Genomic DNA, 21551 nt, shown 5'->3' on the forward strand with positions numbered 1-21551 from the left:
TCACCTCGATCTCGCGGATGTTGTTGGAGGTGACAAAAATGCCAATGCCGATGGGAATGAAGATGAGACCGATGATGAAGAAAATAGGTAGCACCGTGCCAGCCGTAAGGATGGGCTGCCAAGCTGGCAGCCGTTGCTGTTTGAAGGCCGTGTTATCCGGTCTCCGAGTCTTCGCGGTGCCCCCCGGAGCACACGGGGGCCCACCGTCCACTTCATCCTTCGCGTTATAGTTCATCGCCATCGATCCCTGGGGCGCCGCTCCGCGATTTGCAGGTGGACCACCCAGGGGGCCCGCCGGCTGACCCTGACAGGAACCGCTCGAGCGCCGCTGCCGCCGCCGCCGCCGCAGCCACCAGCGCCACCGCCACAGCCACCTCCGCTGTAGAGCGGAAGAGGCGGGACACTCTTCCGCCAAAGGCTGCTGACGGGAAGCGAAAGTCGGCTGGAGACGCCAGAGGGAGGGAGAGAGGGAGGAGGGAGAAGAAGGAGGGACATGGGGAGGGGAAAGGGGAGGAGGATAGAAGCGGGAACGAAAAGGCGGACGCACCCTGATCATCTGTCCTGTGACGGGCTCAGCCATTGGATCGCGAATCTGCGTTCGCGCATGCGTGGTCCTAGAGCTACGGTGACACTTCGCGTGCGGTGTAGGCGCATCTTCGCTCTGTTGGCCGTGGCTTTAGTAAGCACACACCTGCCTGCTACTCTGGTTATCGTGGCGACGGCAGGTCTGGATTGCCAGACAGGTTTTTCTTTTTACCTCGAGGCTTTCTCTGAAGGGAGTCGGAGCATTTAAAAGGCGGCCTCAAGGTGGATTGAGTCGGGGGAGGATTAGCAGTATTTGCTTAGGTTGTAAAACCGCGACTTTATCTAATAAATCGCCATTCAAGGTGCAAATACAAACTTGGAACAGAGGTGCGTGACATGTACCCCTTTTGTCCTAAAGTCAAGAATCAATAATGTGACTTAGCCCTATTATCTTGCCTCTAATTAAGCGATTCTCACTTATTCTTTCTCTATTGCTAATTCTCACGTTACATTTCCCCTTTTCTGTGTCCACCTTTCTCTTTTGCGCATTGATATAGGAAGTGTTTTGTAATAGGCTGTAGCTTTTTCTCTTACTGTTATAAAAACCAGGACATATAGCATTACTACAAAATGAGATACTCCGTAAACACTTTAAAAGTGCCAGCTATTTAATGACCCAAGAAAATACTCGTGATATAAAAGTTGACTAAGTCAGGATATTAGAGTAGTGTAGCGACTATAGAAGTACAATATAGAGCGCAACTAAAAAGTGAAAATGGTAACTCTGCTGACCGGATGAAGGATTTTTTTTTCTGTTTCTTTGCACTTTTCTGTATTTTCCAAAATTTCTATAATAGGCGTTATGTTATTTGTAAAATTTAAACAATATATACAATCCATATTATACTGACATCTTTGAAATCCAGGCCAGAGAGTAAATCATATCATTTGAAAACAAATTACTTTTTTTTAGGCTTAGTCTGCAGTAATGCCTTAAAGAAGGTAAACTGAGGAAAGAGAAAATAAAGAGTGCTTGGTCCTCATAATTTACCGTTAAGCTGGGCTCTGTGGCTCACGCCTGTAATCCCAACACTTTGGGAGGCCGAGGCGGGTGGATCACCTGAGGTCAGGAGTTCGAGACCAGCCTGGCCAACATGATGAAATCCCGTCTTTACCAAAACTACAAAATTAGCTGGGCGTGGTGGCCGCGCCTGTAATCCCAGCTACTCGGGAGGCTGAGGCAGGAGAATCACTTGAACCCGGGAGGCGGAGGTTGCAGTGAGCCAAGATCCGCCATTGCACTCCAGCCTGGGCAACAAGAACGAAACTCCATCTCAAAAAAAAAAAAAAAAATTTTACAGTTAAATGTTTTTTTTCAAAATGACCACAAGTTTCAAAAATGTGAGCCAATCACATGTTTACTAGGCAGAGTTTAGAGTGATATAATACTTGCTGCCTTCTAATAACCGACTTGCTTGGGTTTGCTCTTACATGACATTCATGCTCAAATTCTTAGCACTACTGACATACTTAGGTCTATATTTTGTTTTGATCTGTTAAGTTTACCTTCAACCCCAGGCTCAAATGGAAAACAATCTATCACAGTTAATGGAGAAGGCTTTGAGTCCTTTTATTTTGCTAAGTTCTGTTAGTAAAAATGTATGCCACAATATGGGCATATTGCGAAAGTACATATAAGGCAGGTTTTTCCTCCCCATTTCTGCCTATATCATCATGCCCACTAAATTTGATAATTATTTAACTGATCTGCTATTCCAGCACTCTGTATATATGGTCATTTTACCTTCAATTTTTTGTTTTTGTTCTAGTGATCTGAGTGATTGTGATGTATTTATCTGCTTCCTTTTTCTTTATTTTTGTTTGTTCATAGGAAAATGAGTTAATCCCTTGTCTCTTTTTTTATTAGAAATTCGATTTTGACTGAAACATTTACAGAATTGAAACCTCCTGAGATTCTTCTCTAAAACTTAACATTTTCAGATGAGGTCCACATGGATGAAATTGCTTTTCCAGATCTCTTGATATCCCTCCATTTCATTTTCCACTACTGTATTCTTCCACAATATGCATCTTTACCCAGCTGAAACATTTTTTTCAGTGTCACATTATTATCCCAGGGAACTCAAAATTTTGTGATGTTCTTGGTTACATTATTTTATGAAGTCCTTACTAGGTGGTTTTTCATTTAATCTGCTGAAGTAGGAATTTTCAAAAGAAAGCGTCATTCAGCATTTCTAGGGCAACTAAAGAGAATAGTTCTCACAGTGGACTACCATTTATGCATTTTCAAACTGATTGCTAGGAGCGACTGGTGTGTGTTTGTGTGTATGTATGTTGATACATTTAGATTACATTTATATTGTTCAAATGATTGTTCATGTGCTGATTCTTGGTAAAAGTGGAATTTATGTGGCTAAATGACATTTATTAATGCTATCAGATTAACATTCTAAGTATGCAGTCAATGCACAAGCCCCAGTATAAAAGTGAATCTAAAATGATAGAACAGATGCAAGCCCAACAATCTGAAAAGGTGTGTATATTTAGCCTTTGGTTGGGAAGTTTTATACAATTTTCATTTTTTAGTTCAGTTGCTGTGTTGTGCCACTGAATTCGGTAACCAGAAACATCTAAGAAAAAAATACAGAAGAGTAACTATTGGGTATCCCTGGGAACAAGGAAGAGAAAACTGCAACTGGTCTTTTCATTGCCTAACCAAAGTAGATTTGCCACACAAATTTGCTTGTTGGGTTCCTTTTATGTTGGGTGCTGCTGTAGGTCTCTAGCTTCTAACCATATTCAAACCATTTCATTCACATCTGTAACAAGGATATTTTAAAAAGTTGAAGAGGGCTGAGAGATGTGCCATAGTTTTTACCATCATGAGTTTCAGAGAAAGTTCTTAGTGACTGGAAATGGTTTGAATTATTTTCAGTGACTGGGTCATATTTTTGCAGGAACAACAACAACAAAAATACCTTTTCCTTTTCAGTTGACCATGGCAGCTTGGTGGAACTGCAAAATGTTCATTTTTAATTATCTCAGAGGACTTTTAGGAGAAAGAGTGATGTAGAAATTGTATAATAAACTTCATTTCCTGTATTTATTGCATCAGATATTGATTCAAACTGGCTTTTAAAAATTACTTTTTAAAATTGAATTTTTCCTGATTTTTGTGTAGTGTACTTATTGAATACTTTCAGTTAGATATTTAGGAAAATCCCTTTGTTCTCACATTGACAGATTGACTGATTAGCCTGAGGTCATAGGTGTTGTGATAGAAAATCTTGCAAGTTCTTGAATAGCCAGTCAGTCATCAGAAATACAAGTCAAGCAAGATATTTTAATGGTTAGCGTCATTAGAGGAAAGAGCAATTACACCAAAATTCTTTAGTAGACAGCCTAAGAACTTTGTTGTTGATGGAAATAAGGCTTCATTTCTCATAATTCCATACTTTTTGGTTTTGGTTTTTTGTTTTTTTGAGACGCTGTCTCACTCTATCACCCAGGTGGGAGTGCAGTGGCTCACTGCAACCTCCACCTCCCAGGCTCAAGCGATTCTCCAACCTCAGCCTCCCAAGTACGTGGGACCACAGGTGCGTGCCACCACAGCCAATTAATTTTTTGTATTTTTGATAGAGACAGGGTTTTGCCATGTTGCCCAGGCTGGTCTCGAACTCCTGAGCTCAGGCACTTGGCTTCCCAAAGTGCTGGGATTACAGGCGTGCCTGGCCAATTCCATACTTTAAATGAAAGAATGTGATTCTCACAAGACTTCGGACTTCATGACTTCCACTGCATAGAATCTCTCAGTTGATTATATCCCCATGGCATGTATTTTTTCATTAGGTGCCATCAATTATAGATAAGGTCTTTTTTTCAGATATGATGTTGCCATCTCTAGGATAACAGCCAACTGACATGTTACATGTATAACAGTTAATTTCTTTAAAAAGGGGAACAGAGGAGGAAACAGAGAATCGTCAAGGATACAGGAAAGTAGATATTTTAAATACGTTAATTTTTTTTTTTTTTTTTTTTTTTTTTTTTGGAGACGGAGTCTTGCTCTGTCGCCCAGGTTGGAGTGTAGTGGCGTGATCTCAGCTCATTGCTATCTCCGCCTCCCGGGTTCAAGCAATTCTTCTGCGTCAGCCTCCCGAGTAGCTGGGATTACAGGTGCCCACCACCATGCCTGGCTAATTTTTGTATTTTTAGTAGAGACAGGGTTTCACCATGTTGGCCAGGCTGGTCTCAAACCCCTGACCTCAGGTGATCTGCCTGCCTCAGCCTCCCAAAGTGCTGGGATTACAGACGTGAGCCACTACACCCAGCCTAAAAACGTTAATTCTTTATAAATTATACGTTTGGACCATTTTTAGACTTGTTTTAAATTTATACTTTTCTATTTTTCCAAGTTTTAGAAAGCCAGCATGAGGGGGAGTTCATTTCATCATTTTTTTTTAACACTTGAATCACTTGAGTCATTAAAATAACTCCAACATATTCATGAAGGATCTTCACAAAATGGACTTAAATGTGAAAGTTAGCTTTTGTTGAGCCTCAGAAATCAAATACATTGGGCCAGGCATGGTGGCTTACGCCAGTAATCCCAGCATTTTGGGAGGCTGAGGCAGGCAGATCACGAGGTCAGGAGATCGAGGCCATCCTGGCTCAAATGGTGAAACCCCGTCTCTACTAAAAATACAAAAAATTATCTGGGCATGGTGGCATGTGGCTGTAGTCCCAGCTACTCAGGAGGCCGAGGCAGGAGAATCGTTTGAACCCAGGAGGCGGAGGTTGCAGTGAGTCGAGATCCCCCCACTGCACTCCGACCTGGGCGACAAAGCGAGACTGTCTCAAAAAAAAAGAAAGAAAGAAATCAAGCACATTTGCAGTCAATAGCACTAAATATTTATGACAACAAAGGCAAAGACCAAGGGCTTCCCTCTGACCAGCACACCATAAGGCACAAGATAAGTTCAACAAACTGTTTCACAACATCATCTATATTGTCACTGAATCTTCTGGGAGGAGAAATCTGCACTCGCTGTCTTTGCTTCCTTAACCCAGTCACTCAGTAACCCACTGCTCCCTGACTTCACACCCCACCTCCACTCTAACTGCTTTGCTAGTTAATCCCCACTCATCCTTCAAGATTCAGGTCAGTAGCCAATTCGAGGAATACTTGTTTGACCCCTTTGGTGGAGTTAAGAGCTACTTTCAGAGCTCGAGGTAATGTATATATGACGTCTGTCCTTGCACTTACTGTGTAGTATTGAAAAATATGTTTATATCTGTCTTTGTTACTAGATGTAAATGAATTCCTCAAGGTCAGAGACTGTTTTTATTCATTTCTACATCTCCAACACCTGGCAAAGTGCCTCGGCCATAAAAGGTACTTGATAAATCTTGTTGAACTGACCTGACCTACTCTCAGTGAACCCACATTTTAGTGGGAGAGACACCTTGCTGACAACTGAAATATTATGTAATGAAGTCAGTGCCACACAAGATATGTGTTCAAGGGGTTATAGGAGCTCTGAGGAGGTACCACATGTCATCCGCCTTATGATGTCAAAAACTAAACTGTGAGGAAATTGGAAATAAGGTCAGAGTTACATTGTGGTTCTCCATGTAGGAAAATAGAGAAAAGAGAGTCTTATGCTAATATTACATGTACTATAAATGCTAAGCAAGACTGTGTACTCTGGGTGATCATGTTCTTTTCCTCAAGCATGATCTCATCAGATTGTGGTAACCATGGAAACAGACATCTCTGGTGCCCTCCATTTCTGGGAGATAATCAGTTTGTTGTCTCACTGCCGACTTGTGTCAGTGCTCCACGTGGGCGCCAATACATGCCCCTTTGTGATGCAAAAATGAGCACATTTCTCTCAATAAAGCAGTATAAACCATCTTGAGGCCTGATGAAACTCCTTTCTTTTTAAAGGCATACCTTCCCTTAGAATCAGTGATTACTAAAGGTCTTTTCTTATTTAATCCAGATAATCTGCCTCTGAAACCTTCCGTGGGCACAGAAATTTCTGCAAGGAAAGCATCAGCAACCAGAATAATTTGGTGAGGAAGATTTGGCACAGAATACCCTGACTGAGGTATTGCTCCAAAAGGAGCAATCCTCTGGGGTTAGGAGTCAATTATTAGGTGCCTACAAAACACTCTGTTATTTCGACTAAACATGCCTTGCTGTCAAGGAGAAGAAAGAACTGTGCACTGAAAACCAGAACAGCCAAAAAAGAATGTGGCTGTGGTCATGGGAAAGGTCTTTGAATAACAGGGAAAAGGAGACAGGGCAGTTGAAGGAAGGATAAGAAAAGGCTACTTCCTAGCAGGAATTAATAAACTAATGTTTTTATTATTTAATAGAAACCCATTCCTTTCTTTCAAATAAGGCAGAGATAAGTTAGGATTGGATGTAGCTATATAGATCCCTATTTCTGGCACAGGCTGATAGCAATAAAGGAAGTCAGAACACAACCCCACTCTCACCCACATCCCACTTTGCAAAAACCATGACCCAAATGCCTCTGTAGATACTGGGCTGTGGACTGCTGGCAAAGCCTCAGGAGCCTTTGCTCTACTGAGTGATCTACCTTTAGATTGACAGCAGCGGCTGTGGAGTAACATCTGAATGTTGATTGACAGTGCAGTTTGTGGGAATAAAGCAGGGAGGGAAACCCTTTAACCAGTTTCCATTTCTTGGTGTCTTAAAGTTTTCATCTTACTAAAGAATCAAACCGTTGTGTAATCCAGAGGAAGAGCATCCCTCATCCTGGCAGCCCTGCTCTACCACATCTGCCTATCCATAGTGAAAGACACCATATTTTTAAGAAAATATGAAATGCAGAGATGAAAACTATTTTGGAGCAAATGATTTTAAATAAAAAGGTTGCATACTCATTTTAAATGATTTTAATTTTCTGAATATTATGTTCCAACTCAAGATATTGCACAATGCTTTAATATTACACTTGTTATTTTTCTCACACTAGTGAGATTTTGATAAACATAGTTGACTTTGGAAGTAACAGAGAATGTTTTCATTGGTTAAATAATTTCAATGACCTGTGAGGAACTGAAAGCAAGCTATTACATTCATATAAAAGATAAGTACATATCCATAAATTCACTTGGATTCAATGAAAAATAATAAACTTCTCGTGTACTTAATAAAACTTAAAAGGAAACAAAATTTTAAATGGTGCAAAAATAGAATGTATTTCTTAAAGTTTTGAAAACACTTAGACCTAAAAGAATTCTAAGAATATCTGGCCACATTATAAGCCTCTTATTTGTAAAAGCTAACACTTGATAATTTTAAAACAAAATCTAGATTAAATAAATATAGTTCTGCATTATTAAAGTAACAAAATCTGTGATGGTAAGGTAAAATTTCCCTAAATAATATAAACAAAAAACAACACCGGAAAGCAAATGTATCACGTTATGGCATCGATAAACATTTCTGTTCAAATGTGTGGATCTACAGCATTTTCTCTAGGTAACACACACAGTTGTTATCACATTAGTATGGAATAAATGCTGAAAAATTAAGAAATACTAATGGTTACTAGGCCAAAGTCAATTCCAAAAAACTCAATTCTTATAAACTTTTATTATAGTGATTTTTACTGTATTACAACACTTTTTTTCTCTTTTTCCTTTGCTTTGTGATTCATATTTTTAGCAGAGGCATAGCACTGGAGATAAAGAAGGGGAAATATGCTTCAGGTGCCAGTTGCGTTTTTTAACTTCCATTTTGCACTTTTGCTATTTTTAGACTTGTTGCTCATCAGATTCATTAACACACCCTACTTTTGCTATGTTTTTTTCCTTCATTTCCAGGAAAACTCAACCACAGCATTAGGAGAAAAGGCAAAAACTTCACATTGCCTGATACACCACTTATTCTTGCTCTGCCACTGATTTGTAGTAGCTGTGTATTACTGCAGTAGCGCTGTTGTCTCTATTAATGCTTAGAGATTCCACACCATGAATTTTTTTATGGTCATCCTAAGATACAATGAATTCTTCACATTTTGTGAAAATTATAGGCATCTGACAGCTGGTGTATTTATCTACCATCTTCATCAAACTCGAATATTTTATAAAATACTTGAGAAAAGATCTCTACCAAAGATACCCTCATGAAACACTCTCTTATCAAAAAGAAAAGGGTAAAATTATGGATTAGTTCAATTGTACCTTGAACTAGAAACACTGATTATGATTATATTTCAGAAAACAGTTATAATTATTTCATTAAAAATGATTCCCATTTAGAATGATGACTGGAGACTTATTTACAAGAAAAGATAGAGAAATTTTATGAGCCTAGGATTGTGCCAGGATTGCCTGTGAGGGCAGTTTTTTCAATTGCATATGCATGTTGAGATGGGACTATTTATGATCTTATTTCCTTATTCATTAGAGAAGGAGATGACCAGTGTTTTCTGGGGGTTTTTTGGTTAATTTTGCATATTCTCTTATTTCAAAATTAATCTAATTAATTTTATTCATGTGTCACTCAGATTGCATTTGGGTTTAAACAGAGGACTTAATCATAGCATGGACAGAAAAGGCTCACCATCTATCTAAATGACTCTGATTGCACCATCATCCTCATTGTTCTTGTAAGTTCCAAATTCATTATAAATCTGGGGAAAAAAAATCTTCAAATCCAAATATACATACATTTCTTATAGTATTTTAATTTAAATCAAGAAGTATTTAAAATCTTATCCTCTAACATTTTCACTATTAGTATAATAAAATTCCCACAAGTTGAGAAAGTTATTTGCTTCAAATACTAATCTAATATATCAAATAATTTTGCCATCAGAGGTACAAACATTGGCAAATAGGATACTTAACTGTGAGTCAAAAAATATAACAGTACTAACTAAAACACTTTTCTAATTGAAAATGTCATTACAGTCAACATTTTCAGAAAACAAAACCCAGTAACAATTCTAAAAAATCACACATACACACTCCAGTTTTCTTAGTAACCAAAATTCTGGAAGTTTATGTGATGTTTTCACAATCATTCAAGCTATGGCAAGCCTACTGTAACATTTCTTTTACTTTAAAAAATTAAAAATAATTTTAACATCATATAATTTATAATACATGTTGAAAATGATTTGCCAATTCCCCAAGGTGTAACTTAAAACCTTCCAAGGTTACATAGGGGAGGAAGTCCATCATTAATTTTTCTATTCCAGAGACTCAGTTTGGATGCCCGTGTGTGGGCTTCTAAAGCTGAGCACAACCTGTGAACTAGAGAAATGGGCCAGCAGTCCTCCTTGTGTGGCTTTTAGTTATCCTTGTGACACTCAGAAGCATTCTCTCTTTAATTTCAGTAAAGTTACATGATAAATGACTTCCACATTCAGAAACTGATGTGTCAACTCTTAATTTATCTTTAAAGTTATCTTTAAAGACCTTACTAAAAACATGTCCATATTAACAGTCTTTAAAAAAAAAAGTATATTACCAGGGTTTCAAGTAGACTTTAGATGCACATTTTCACATAAACCTAAATTCAACAGTAGCTCTGACGTTGAGATTTGAGTAATGCACGTTGTGCTTTTTATCTTCAAAGAATATATTCTCTGACCTACCTGTAGTTACGAAAATCTTTCAAAATCAAGGGGAAAAAAGTTATCGATCCTGAGATTTCTTGTACTACTTTTTCCTTCTGGGTTTTGGGGGTTTTTGTGTGTGTGTGGGTTTGTCTTTGTTTTGAGACAGAGTCTCACTCTGTCACCCAGGCTGGAGTACAGTGACACAATCATGGCTCCCTGCAGCCTCCATCTCCTGGGCTCAAGTGATCCTCCCACCTCAGACTCCCAAGTAGCTAGGACTACAGGCACGTGCAATCAGGCCCAGCTAACTTCTTTTTTTTTTTTTTTTTTTTTTTTTTTTTAAGACTCTCACTGTGTTGCCCAGGCTGATCCTGAACTCCTGGGCTTAAGCGATTCTCCCGCCTTGGCCTCCCAAAGTGCTGGGATTACAGGCACGACCCACCATGCCCAGTCTTATTTTTTAAAAAAGATCCTGACATTTTAGGTCTGTTTTTATATTCAAGTTTTGATTGGATTAGATTGTGAGAACTATCTTTATTTCACAGTCCTTATTATAAGTCTTATACATACAAGTAAATAATGCAATCAGAAGTATAATTGAACTGTCAGTCGAAGCTGTTCTTATTGCCCTTACTGGTTAAACTGGTACATCTCCTTTTATGAATTTGTTCTATATAAAAATCATTTCATCCAAGGTTTTTGGCCCAGAACACCAGAAAGAGCAACTTTAGAAACTGATTTTTAGTATTTAAAATTAAGCTTTTAAGTCAGAGCATTATTTGTTAGCATTGAACCATGATCAGAACCATAGCATTGTACAAGCAATAGTAAAACCTCTTCCAGAGTCTCCTGCTTCTAAGTTTTACCTCTTGAATTTACCTCAGGAAATATAGTTGTACTTTCTTTTTTTCAGAATTAACAAATTGATAAAAAGAAAATAATTATAGATTACCATTTTGAATGCAACAATACCAGTACTTTGAAGAACTGACAGCGTATTCCATAGATATATGTGCCAGAGACTATGAAAAAGGGAAACACTTTAGCAAAAAAAATCACATTACAAAATGTATTATAAAATATAAGTTATACAGCATGTGCCCATAGACCTGAAAGCTTTGCAAAAAGAAATTTCTTTTGGCACATAGATTGAATTGCTCTTGCTACATATTTTCATATTATCAGCAAGGCCATTTTCAGCTTTTTACATTATATCCTTAAAAAAAAATCACTGGAAGTAGTAAAATATTTCCAGTAGTGATCAGTAGCATGGAGGACCTTAGTCATGATTGAGGGCTGTCCATTCAATAGGGATTCAGAGGTCGTACACACACCCAGTATGTGCTTGGTTTACCATTTCATCTGGAGTTCATTCGTAACTGGTGAATGATGATGCTTTCTATAAAGAGAAAAAAGACATGGCATTTTCAATTAAACTGAAACTGAGAATCAAGCTACATCATTTCACTAAAAGATCATAGATGTTAAATAACAAAACAAACAAAAACAGGTACATGAGGCTAATAGACTTTCCTGCATTACTATTCTTGGGCAACGTCTTTATATTGGCGTATGTACTTTACCTCGAAATTTCTTAAAGCCCTTTAGAAACTACGTCTAACGTTCTGACAATAGTAGATCAGTTTTGACCAAGGTAAGAACTGAAAACAAAGATAGTAATTACTATATACAAACCCCTTAATGAGAAACCAGACTATTTCCTAGAAGTAACTCTAATCTTCCAGCCAAATTTTCTGGTCTGAACAATATTTACACCTCTTCAATTTCTTTGTGTGTGTGTGTGTGTGTGTGTGTGTGTGTGTGTGTGTGTGGATTAGAGTTTAATAAGGAGATATTATTTCTAAGTCCATAAATATAGGTGACTCACTTTTATCTCTGCGTCTTTTTGCATAACTCTATATGTTTATTATTATTATTATTATTATTATTATTATTATTATTATTTTAGGTGGAGTCTCGCTCTGTCGCCCAGGCTGGGGTGGAGTGACGCGATCTCGGCTCACCGCAAGCTCCGCCTCCCGGGTTCACGCCATTCTCCTGTCTCAGCCTCCCCAGTAGCTGGGACTACAGGCGTCCACCACCACGCCCGGCTAATTTTTTGTACTTTTAGTAGAGACGGGTTTCACCGTGTCAGCCAGGATGGTCTCGATCTCCTGACCTCGTGATCTGCCCGCCTCAGCCTCCCTATATGTTTTAAAATATAAATTTATTCTTATAAAAATAAATTTAAACTAGATTGAGGTAGTAATTACAACAGTCCAGCACATTATGGATAATTAATATTTATATTTATTTGGCTGGTTTTTCTTTTATAGTAAACTTTATGCCTTAATGAACATTTATCAGTATGACTCACTTCATTCAGTCATTGAATAACTATTTATTGAGGCTGTATACTGTGCTAGGTAGGCATGGAACTACATGCATGATCAAAATGAGACAGATTCCTAACATCACTGAGATTATACACAGCAGGGGAAAGAAAATATTCAAACTTCAAATAGTTTCTTCATCCAAAAAATTTATTATTAGTACCTCCTTGTCAACATATGGTATATGTTGTGAGTGCAGAAACTTAGGGTTTATCAATAACATGAAGAAATTTCTACCTATTATTTTCACATCCATCCCAAATACCTAGTATTTAAGTTTTATTTTTACTTATGTAGTTAGTATATAAGTAAACATTAATTAAATCGTATTATGCCATAGACTTATAGGTTCATAGTAATTACACACAGTGCATGATTACCTGCCAAAAAGAAAATGTTTTCTTAATTTGGTGTCGTTAACTTTACCTCATGATGACCAATAGGTGGAGCTATTTCCATTTTTTCCCTCAGCCTTTTGGCTTGAATTTGAGGTAGATAAGAAAGCCAAGTAAGATGAACTATAGAATGTCTTATATACCTAAGAATATTTAGCTATGAAGGTTTTCTGAAGCTCTTAAGACATACATACTATATTGTACTATACCAGAAGCCCTTATAAACCATCTCGTTTTTTTCATTGAAAAAATATTCCAGCTTCAACTTCAAATGCCTAAAAATATATCAAAATCTTCAGGCAAACAATTTTAAGTACTAATTAATATCATGTAGTTAAAAATTAGCATCCAAAATTAAAATGATGTTTCTCACTAATTTAAAAAAAAATTCTGCAGTAGATTCCAAAGAGTAAAAAGACCCAAGTCTCAAATCTCCCTGGTAAAATTAAAGTTATCTCCAATTTCCTTCCCTTAAGAAAGCATAGATAAAGAGTGAAATCAGAATTGTTCTTATTGTGGATGTAATTCAGAAATCTTCTGCCTTTGTTTCCACAGTACAAAATAAGGGTATTAGAGAGCATCTCAAAAATCCCTTTCAGGGTTAACATTTTGTATTACTACAATACCTTCTTTCTCCTTCAGTGTGCAGCAGTGGAAATTTACAAAATGCTAGGATTAAGGCAATTTAGAGTTGCCTTGTCTTAATCCTAGCATTTTGCACAACTTAGAGTTGCCTTGTCTTAATCCTAGCATTTTGCACAACTTAAGAGTTGCCTTGTCTTAATCCTAGCATTTCAAAATCTCCATCATAGTAATAAGGGTCCGTACACAGAAGAAACAATGTCTTGGTTGGACCATAACATTTAATTACTGTATTTAAATTAGCAAACTCATAATCCATGCATCCTATGTATGCTAATGCTATTAATCAAATGTGTTATTAAAACAAATGTCTCAGAAATACTTGATAATGCTAAATAAGAGTTTATCTTATATAAATTGTACTTTAATAAAGGGTGGTATTTAATACTTATGTACATAAACTTTATTTAAAAGAATACAATTAAGCCCAAATTATGTTGTTTTATATGGAGACCAACTTCATTTTATTTCTAGAGATAGTGAGATAAAATCTGTATGATACTGGCTCTATTAATTGAAACTTATTAAACAGATTTACTAAATCTATAGTTGCTTATTAGCTATGTTTTCCCCAAGTCTCTGCTGAACTTACTCAATAAGAATCACCTAGCCAATGCACAAAATTGTGATAAATTTTTAAAATATTGCTTTAAAGCCAGGCTTGGTGGCTCACACCTGTAATCCCAGCACTTTGGGATGATGAGAGGGGTGGATCACTTGAGGTCAGGAGTTCAAGACCAGTCTGGCCAACATGGTGAAACCCCATCTCTACTAAAAATACAAGAAATAAGCTGGGCGTGGTGGTGTGCACCTGTAATCCCAGTTACTCTGGAGGCTGAGGTGGGAGAATAGCTTGAATCCAGGAGGCGGAAGTTGCAGCGTGCCGAGATAGCACCACTGCACTCCAGCCTAGGCAACAGAGAGAGACTCAGTCTCAAAAAAAAATATTGCTTTAAGCCATTACATTTTGAAGTAACTCATTATACAGCAAAACTGTCTGAGGCACATGGAGTCCATGTTGCCAGCAAAAAAAAAAATTAAATAAATTTTTAAAAATTAGTGCTTTGGGGATTAATGCCATTATTTGTGTAAAAAAAAAAACAGACTTGAATTCCCAAGTCTGTTCCTGTCTTTTTGTATATAGTACAATAAAATAATGTTATAAATCTTATTGAAGTTACAGATTCAGTGAGCAAATTTTATTCCATCTCCTACTGTCTTCATTTCATCCCAGAACAAGATTCAACTATAGGTCATTTGGGGCCTCTAAAATAACCCCAGTAAAATCAGGTATAATTTTTCATAACTTTTCTTCTTACAGATCATAATTTTGCACAACTATCATAATTTTTCTTCTTACAGATACCACTCTTCTGACAATAGTGATTTGGAGAGCACTTAATAGGCAGATTGGAACCAAAGACCATAGATAATTACCACCTCTGTCAGCAAACTCAAAATAGCAAAGCACTTAAATTTGGGACCCTCTGATATGAAGATGTTTATTAACATAATTTCCTTTTTTTCTAATTGGAAGTTTTAAAAACCCTAAATTTCAATGAACATATACATATGAGACACTGAGTTTTTATATATTTTTGACATTAGTGGCTTTATCAAAGTGTACTTAGAGACAATTTCCCCTATATGTTTCTCTCCAGTGTTACCTTGACGTTTTTTTCCTTAAAAAAACTTCAGGTAACACATTAAATGCATTATTTGTTATTATGACATTATTGTGAAATGATGTAGTTTTTATGAAGTCTTTTAGTACACTAGCTATTGGATAACTTCCTGGAAAGGAAGTTCAACATATTGTCAATTCCTAATTAAACTTGATTTCTGACCTTACTAAATATTCATCCTCCTTGGGTGGTATCCCAAAACTACTAGCCAGTCATATGACTTGAGATCCAAAGCTGTGTGCATGAGATAGGATTTGGGGAGAAATTTGGGGGAGAATGTTTCCTGAGTGCAGAGTGAGGCAACCTCACAACAAATTAGAATTCTGTTTCCTCCCAGGAGGTCTCCTTGGCTGTAGAGTGAGAAAGATGTACTCCCTAAAAAGCCAATACCTCCCTCCCAAGTAATTCATGTTTATACTCTGCCAAACACTGCAAAGGAACACTTGAGCTCTACATTTAAAAAAAAAACATTCTTCTCTAGCAAATAAGGCCACATCACTTTAATAGCTAGCCTCTAAGTTCACATACTAAAGACAAAACATACCAGAAATTCAACTTATAACAAGACGTTACATCAGCAAAGGAGGATTGCTTTATCCACAGGAAGCTGTACACCAAGTTACAGAACAAAAACATGTCCTCTTGGATTTTGCATCAATTTGCCTATATATAACCTGCTTCCCATGTTCTATGGCTCCCTACCCACCAGGGGCTCTGCCTAGAGGTACCAGCTTAGGGTTGTGCTATTCTTCCCCTCCCCCGACCAAGTACCAAATATCAGCTTTGAACCTACTGGCCTCAGAACAACTTGTCCACTGCAAAAATGTCCTACATTCTATTTACCTTTTAGAAGTACTTAGATATGATTTACTTTCAAGTTTCTCATTTTCCTAAACTGCTTCAGGGTTCAATCCTGTTATTATCACATTCAGAAATTAATCACAGTTCTGTTAAAACATCTGTTTTAAATAGGAAGTTCAAGAAACTTCCTCTCTTGATTTGGACTTGTATTCCTCTTTTGGATTCAGCTTAGCTAATTAAAAATACTTCCGCTAATAGGTTCTGTCATTTGCTCTAGGAAATTTTTGAACCAGATGATACAAACTCTCTTGGGAGTTCTCAACCACCTAATAATTTATTTGCTTCCTTCCAGCAGATTTCCCACTCTACCATCAGCCCAAATTATCTCCTTACCTCCCCAGGATGCAGAAGTCACCAATAATCACAGTTATAACTGATAAATTCTTTTTTGGCAAGCTAATTCTTATCTCCAGCATAGATTGCTGTTTTACAGATACAAGCAAATTTGAATTAGTTCCCATATATAACATTAACTATAAATAAAAATTAAGTAATGGAAAAATAGGTAAGTATTTGAGCAAAGCATGCTGAGGTTCTACTCTTTTAAACACAGATGGTAAATACCTAGGTTGTTCTAAGTCTATGGCTAGTCACAGAATAGCATGCAAAATAACATTATGTGTGAAAACTAAGGTCACTGCGCTTTTTAAATGAGGACAACAATATTCATCAAAATATTGTTGTAAGAACTTTTTCACAGTTTCTATATAGATGTCTTAGTAGCTCAAAATCATTTAGCAGTATTATTTTGATCCAATGAGTATGAGTGTTTCAGTCTATGTATGAATGTACATTTTACTCACTTGTAGTAGTTTCATCATATGAAATAATGAATAATGTACTGGGAGAAACTGAAGAACTGATTTTTGGTCCTGGCCTTATCATTAATAAGATGCTTAGACATCTGTACGCCTCAGGGATTTTTTTTAAAGGGTTTGTTGCTGTTTGTCTTCTTTAGTAATAGTAATTATCCTCTTGATCTCTAAGGTCTATTTCAGTTCTAACCAGCTCTGTGATTTTGCATATATGTAGCATTAGCAGAAGTAGAGAGGCCAAAAGTACTTTTACCAGGTAAGTAATTAATCATTAGATCTTAGGAAAAGCATTGTAGCAGGATCTTGCAAGGTGCTTGCTAAACAATAGTGAAGCATATTATATTATGACTCTAAGAGAGAATGCCAGAATCATAAAAAATTATAGCTCAGTGCTAAATCATAGGCCAAGGTAGGGTGATATGCCAAAGGTTACACAACCTTTTGGTGGTAGAAAAGAGTATGGCTCCAGTCTCATGGTTTTCAGTTCTCTCAGGTATCAAGTCCATTTTTCAGCAGCCCTTCTTCTCTGGATATTCACCCTGATATCTATCCTAAATCTAAATCCTGCTTTTTGGTGGTGTTTGGTCCTTTAAAATGAGAGCCTCTCTGTCCTATTTTGAGGGTCCTTCATGAACTTGAAGAGCATGAGACAAACCCCTGAAACTTTCTCATTCTTGAAGTGCCTTTGTGTTCTGCTGGGGGAGTCGGAAAGGGTGAGGAAAGGGCCATTTGTAACTCATGCATGTACTGTGTGTTTATACTTCACAGAAAGCTCTCAGGCCCCTTTCTTCACAGGCCTGGTGGCTTCTGAGGTGAGAACTCCCCAGTCCAGGACTCCTGGCTGTTTTGCATCCATCACCTGCTGTTGTGCCTTTGGAGGGAAATAGAAGTAACTTTCACCACCCAAAAATGACAGTACCTGGACTTCCTGTAATTCTGCCATCTCATTACCTGTGTGTTCTCACACAGGACTTGTTAGTTCCTTCCACGTCATTCTCACTGGTTTGTGTTGCAAAGAGAGGAATCAGAAACAGCTCTTTCTTGCCCAACTTTCTGCCATTTTTCAGCTTCTAGTTTTGTTTATCTATAGTGAGTGCCAAGCTTTGTACAGCAGTGGACAGGCCTTTAAACCCCAGGGTAGATTCTGAAATAATAGTTTATCTTCCTAGAAGAGGCAATGTTCATAAAATAGACTTTGATCAGAGAAGGACACATCCGCCAAAAGAAAAATAGGAGAAAGGGCAATACAAGGAGAAGGAACAAATTGAGCAAGTCAAGGAAGGGTGGCATGGCCTGACAGTCAAGCAATTATTTAAGCCTGGAGTGTGGGGGTCCCGCCAAGGGAAGGGAAAGATGCTCAGAAGAATGGAGAAGTAGAGCCCAGTCACAGAGTGCCTCAAGTACATAGCATTGTGTTCTATGAGTAATAAGGAACTTTTGGGCGGTTTTCAAATAGAGATGATGATATGATATGATATGACATGATATGATATGATATGATATGATATGATATGATATGATGTATGATATGATCAACTTGCATTTTGGAAAACTGCAAGAATGAAAAATGAATCCTAGAGTTTTGAGGCTGGAGATTACAAGACCAATTAGGAGGGTATCAGAGTAACCCAAATGAAAAGTAGTTAAAACCCTCAATTTAGGCCATGGTAGGGGAAATGGAGAGGAGGAGTCAGCTGCTAGAGATGTTAGTGGGTTAGAATGAGAGAATAAGCAGGACTTGCTGAATGAGGGCAGAAGGAGAAGGAGAAGCATAGATGGTTACCAGGTTTCTAGCTTGGGAGACTGAATGGGTTAGATATCCCTGTTGAGATGGAGAATAATAAGAGAAGGAGAAGCTTTGGAAGAAGATGGGGCAGTATTGAAAATGGTTTTTAGACAAGCTGATTTGGAAAAACACACTATAAAGATGGATACACAGTTGGTGATAGAAGTTTGGGAGTCATTGGCATCTGGGTGTAGATGAAATAACCAGAGCCAGCTTGTAGAGCAGGAACATGGCTCTTAATAGAGATGTGGGAAACATCAATCCTTATTGTGTATACATAAAATAAGGAGCCAACAAGGGAAACTGAAGCAGAGCAAAGAGGTGAAAGAAGCAGCAAAGCAGATTAGATATCTTGGTCATTGAGGGAAAAGAGCACAGCCTAACTCTGCCCTTGCCCTTACTAGAGACCAGAGGTTTGTTTTCTGGAAAAACTGACCTAAGAAGTTCTGGACCCAGACATAAGAATGGGCAGCAGACTGATTGCAGGGGAGTAAAAACTTTATACCTTGAGCTGTGAGATTCTCATCTTACCTCCCCTGACCAGAATTTGGATAGCCTGCCCCAGAAAGGTTACTGGAGGACTTTTTCCTTTAAAAACTATTAGAAGATGTAAAGAGAAAGAGGGAGAGAGAGAGAGAGAGAGAAAGAGAGAGAGAGGATAGATAGATAGATAGATAAAGACAGATAGATGATAGGCAGATCAATAGATAGATCAATAGATAAAAGAAGTAGAATATAACCAATCAGGGAAACAGAGAACTCAACATAGGCAAAAGGGCAACAGCTGTGCAGCAGGCCTAGAAAACAACCAGTCCAGACTGAATATGGAAGCAGAGGGCTGAACTAGGAAGGCCTCCAGGGAAAAATATGAAACTGGTGTGTTTAAGTGTTTGGAAAAATTACTGATAGGTGTTTGGCAAGTCTAATGGAGCATTTGGAAAAATATATATATAGATATATGGAAAACCAAGCAGATGAAAAATTAAAACAATTATTCTTTTGAAGGGGGAAATGTGGTAAGAGGAAGAGAGCATAATCATAGTATACTACTTGGCTCAGCTGATAGTAATATTTATTATTTATTTATTTTTATTTATTTATTTTGAGACAGGGTCTTACTTTGTCACCCAGGTTGGAGTGCAGTGGCACTATCTCTCACTGTGACCTCTGCCTCTCAGGCTCAAGCAATCCTCCCATCTCAGCTTCCCGAGTAGCTGGGATTAAAGGGATGCACCACCATGCCCAGCTAATTTTTTGTATTTTTGAGGCTGCAGTCTAGGTTTTGCCATGTCATCCAGGCTGGTCTCAAACTCCTGAGCTCTAGTCATTCACCTGCCTCAGCCTCCCAGAGTGCTGGGATTATAGGCGTGAGCTACCATGCCTGGCCAGATAACTATATTTAAATTTGCACTGCAAAACACATAAATATATAAATGTTGGCTGCTGATTTATCAAAAAGTTGAGGATGTAATCATATTGGGAAAATGAGAAAAAGGAAAGAGAAGGGATAAGTGAGAAGGTTAAACCTTCAACCATCAAAACAATAATGCGAAGACAAAAGAGATCTAAAATCTAGAAATAGAAAGTCACACTATAAGCACTTTAGTTAGAAATATGGAGATAAATGCCAGAAGAAAGAGCTAAGAGTTGGAAGTGATGTTCTCCGGGGGAAAAAACTGTGGGCTCAGGGAAGTGGTAAGGAACATCTGTTTTCATTGTCTTTTAGCTCTGGCTGATATTTGAACTATGTATATGAATTTCTTTATTAAAAATAAAAAGTGACTAATGATAAATAAGTGTGAGACTGGAGGCAGGAATTCTCTCAATAGCTCACCTGGGCATGGAAGGAGACTGGGCAGTAGCTACAGAGGACTGCATAGATGAAGGAGGAATTTTGCTAAAATGAGAGAGGTCAGAGGATAGCAAGTGAAAACGAGAAGTGGAAAGACCAGAGAACAAAGAAATAACCAATGATGAGACCCTAAAGAGACAGAAAGGAAACATTATCCAGGTTGGGAAAATTTGGGAATCATATCTTCCTGTTTCCTGGGAAATCCTCTCTATGCTCATCTCCTCATTACTCGTTCTCTCTCTCAGCCCTCCAGCCTCCAATATAAATGTGCTCTTCATATCTATAACCCCATGTTTTTCCCAACAAGGAAAGTCTCACCCTTTCCTCAATATTCTGAATCTGGGGAATGAGAAATTTAAATATTTTTACACTTGATATTCTTAGACTTGTTTTCATGTCTCCGAAATTATACTCTTCCCACACTACACATGAAAGCTATTTTTCACTTCTTTCTTGAAGACATTCGAGTAAGAGCTCTGGGTACACCCTTAACGAATACCCTAAAATCTCTAGAGAGAGCTCAATTGCCACCCATCAACCAGTCCTCACTGGAAATACAATTAAAACACCAGTAGAAACTGAATAGCTTTTAAGCAGATGACCTAGATATATAGCTCACATGTAAAAAAATGATAAACACTCTTGAGGCTGTGTCCCATATCGAAACATTTCTGGAATCATGCATGTAAGCTGGACACCACCATAGTGTGCTGAAATAGTCAGCACATTATAATTATTCTCAGGCAGTGAAGACCAGGGTCTCCTCTGTAGCTGTGTAGATCGTGTCCTGCACATCCCTAGAGGGCACCAACACACTGAAGTCTGTGGAAATGGCCCACCCTTCCCACCCCAAAGTCACCCACCGTCCCAAGATTTCAGGGTGGGGCCTGAGCAGCAGCTGTACACATCAGCCATAGTGAGACCCCTTTTATTTTACTACGCAGTACGTTTCAGGACAGAGAAAATAT

General features: G+C 37.9%; 2 protein-coding genes and 1 long non-coding RNA gene across 7 annotated transcripts in view, besides 1 other annotated feature; 1 reads left to right on the plus strand and 2 right to left on the minus strand.

The window, feature by feature from the left end:
* TMEM30A (transmembrane protein 30A) overlaps positions 1-395 on the minus strand; it is a 31869-nt gene extending 31474 nt beyond the window's left edge. For both annotated transcript variants that reach the window (NM_001143958.2, NM_018247.4), the window contains exon 1: positions 5-395. In NM_001143958.2, coding sequence (NP_001137430.1) covers positions 5-241 — 237 coding nt within the window. In that variant the 5' untranslated portion in view covers positions 242-395. The remainder of the gene's footprint in view (positions 1-4) is intronic.
* Positions 59-631: an enhancer, noted in NCBI's record as "H3K27ac hESC enhancer chr6:75994172-75994744 (GRCh37/hg19 assembly coordinates)". NCBI's record gives its function as "activates a minimal SCP1, AML or CMV promoter by ChIP-STARR-seq in primed H9 embryonic stem cells {active_cell/tissue: H9 hESC(primed)}" and the evidence as "EXISTENCE:reporter gene assay evidence [ECO:0000049][PMID:30033119]".
* Positions 617-7467, plus strand: TMEM30A-DT (TMEM30A divergent transcript). The gene is made up of 3 exons (NR_040081.1): positions 617-912; positions 5857-5941; positions 6552-7467. It is a non-coding gene; the product is annotated as a TMEM30A divergent transcript (long non-coding RNA).
* The window catches only part of FILIP1 (filamin A interacting protein 1), a 201942-nt gene continuing 187852 nt past the window's right edge, over positions 7462-21551 (minus strand). For all 4 annotated transcript variants that reach the window (XM_005248715.6, NM_001300866.3, XM_005248713.5 and 1 more), the window contains one exon: positions 7462-11553. In XM_005248715.6, the coding sequence (XP_005248772.1) occupies positions 11524-11553 (30 nt within the window). In that variant the 3' untranslated portion in view covers positions 7462-11523. The remainder of the gene's footprint in view (positions 11554-21551) is intronic.

Source organism: Homo sapiens, chromosome 6 (assembly GCF_000001405.40).
Source record: "Homo sapiens chromosome 6, GRCh38.p14 Primary Assembly".
NCBI classification, from domain to species: domain Eukaryota; kingdom Metazoa; phylum Chordata; class Mammalia; order Primates; family Hominidae; genus Homo; species Homo sapiens.